At 49.7% G+C, this 936-nt stretch overlaps 1 protein-coding gene across 1 annotated transcript; it reads left to right on the plus strand.

Annotated features, from left to right (window-relative positions):
- OR4D11 (olfactory receptor family 4 subfamily D member 11) lies at window positions 1-936 on the plus strand. The gene has a single exon (NM_001004706.1). It carries the CDS (start codon window positions 1-3, stop codon window positions 934-936), a length of 936 nt encoding a protein of 311 aa, NP_001004706.1.

The following is a 936-nucleotide window of genomic DNA, read 5'->3' on the forward strand; positions in this document are numbered from 1 at the left end:
ATGGAGTTGGGAAATGTCACCAGAGTAAAAGAATTTATATTTCTGGGACTTACTCAATCCCAAGACCAGAGTTTGGTCTTGTTTCTTTTTTTATGTCTTGTGTACATGACGACTCTGCTGGGAAACCTCCTCATCATGGTCACCGTGACCTGTGAGTCTCGCCTTCACACCCCCATGTACTTCCTGCTCCGCAATCTAGCCATCCTTGACATCTGCTTCTCCTCCACAACTGCTCCTAAAGTCTTGCTGGACCTTCTGTCAAAGAAAAAGACCATATCCTATACAAGCTGCATGACACAGATATTTCTCTTCCACCTCCTTGGTGGGGCAGACATTTTTTCTCTCTCTGTGATGGCGTTTGACTGCTACATGGCCATCTCCAAGCCCCTGCACTATGTGACCATCATGAGTAGAGGGCAATGCACTGCCCTCATCTCTGCCTCTTGGATGGGGGGCTTTGTCCACTCCATCGTGCAGATCTCCCTGTTGCTGCCTCTCCCTTTCTGTGGACCCAATGTTCTTGACACTTTCTACTGCGATGTCCCCCAGGTCCTCAAACTCACTTGCACTGACACTTTTGCTCTTGAGTTCTTGATGATTTCCAACAATGGCCTGGTCACTACCCTGTGGTTTATCTTCCTGCTTGTGTCCTACACAGTCATCCTAATGACGCTGAGGTCTCAGGCAGGAGGGGGCAGGAGGAAAGCCATCTCCACTTGCACCTCCCACATCACTGTGGTGACCCTGCATTTTGTGCCCTGCATCTATGTCTATGCCCGGCCCTTCACTGCCCTCCCCACAGAAAAGGCCATCTCTGTCACCTTCACTGTCATCTCCCCTCTGCTGAACCCTTTGATCTACACTCTGAGGAACCAGGAAATGAAGTCAGCCATGAGAAGACTGAAGAGAAGACTCGTGCCTTCTGAAAGGGAATAG

The sequence above is a fragment of the Homo sapiens genome, chromosome 11 (assembly GCF_000001405.40).
Source record: "Homo sapiens chromosome 11, GRCh38.p14 Primary Assembly".
Taxonomy (NCBI): domain Eukaryota; kingdom Metazoa; phylum Chordata; class Mammalia; order Primates; family Hominidae; genus Homo; species Homo sapiens.

Bases quoted from the DNA above. Each gene is read 5' to 3' on its own strand.
- OR4D11 (NM_001004706.1), top strand. From the start codon at position 1: ATGGAGTTGGGAAATGTCACCAGAGTAAAAGAATTTATATTTCTGGGA.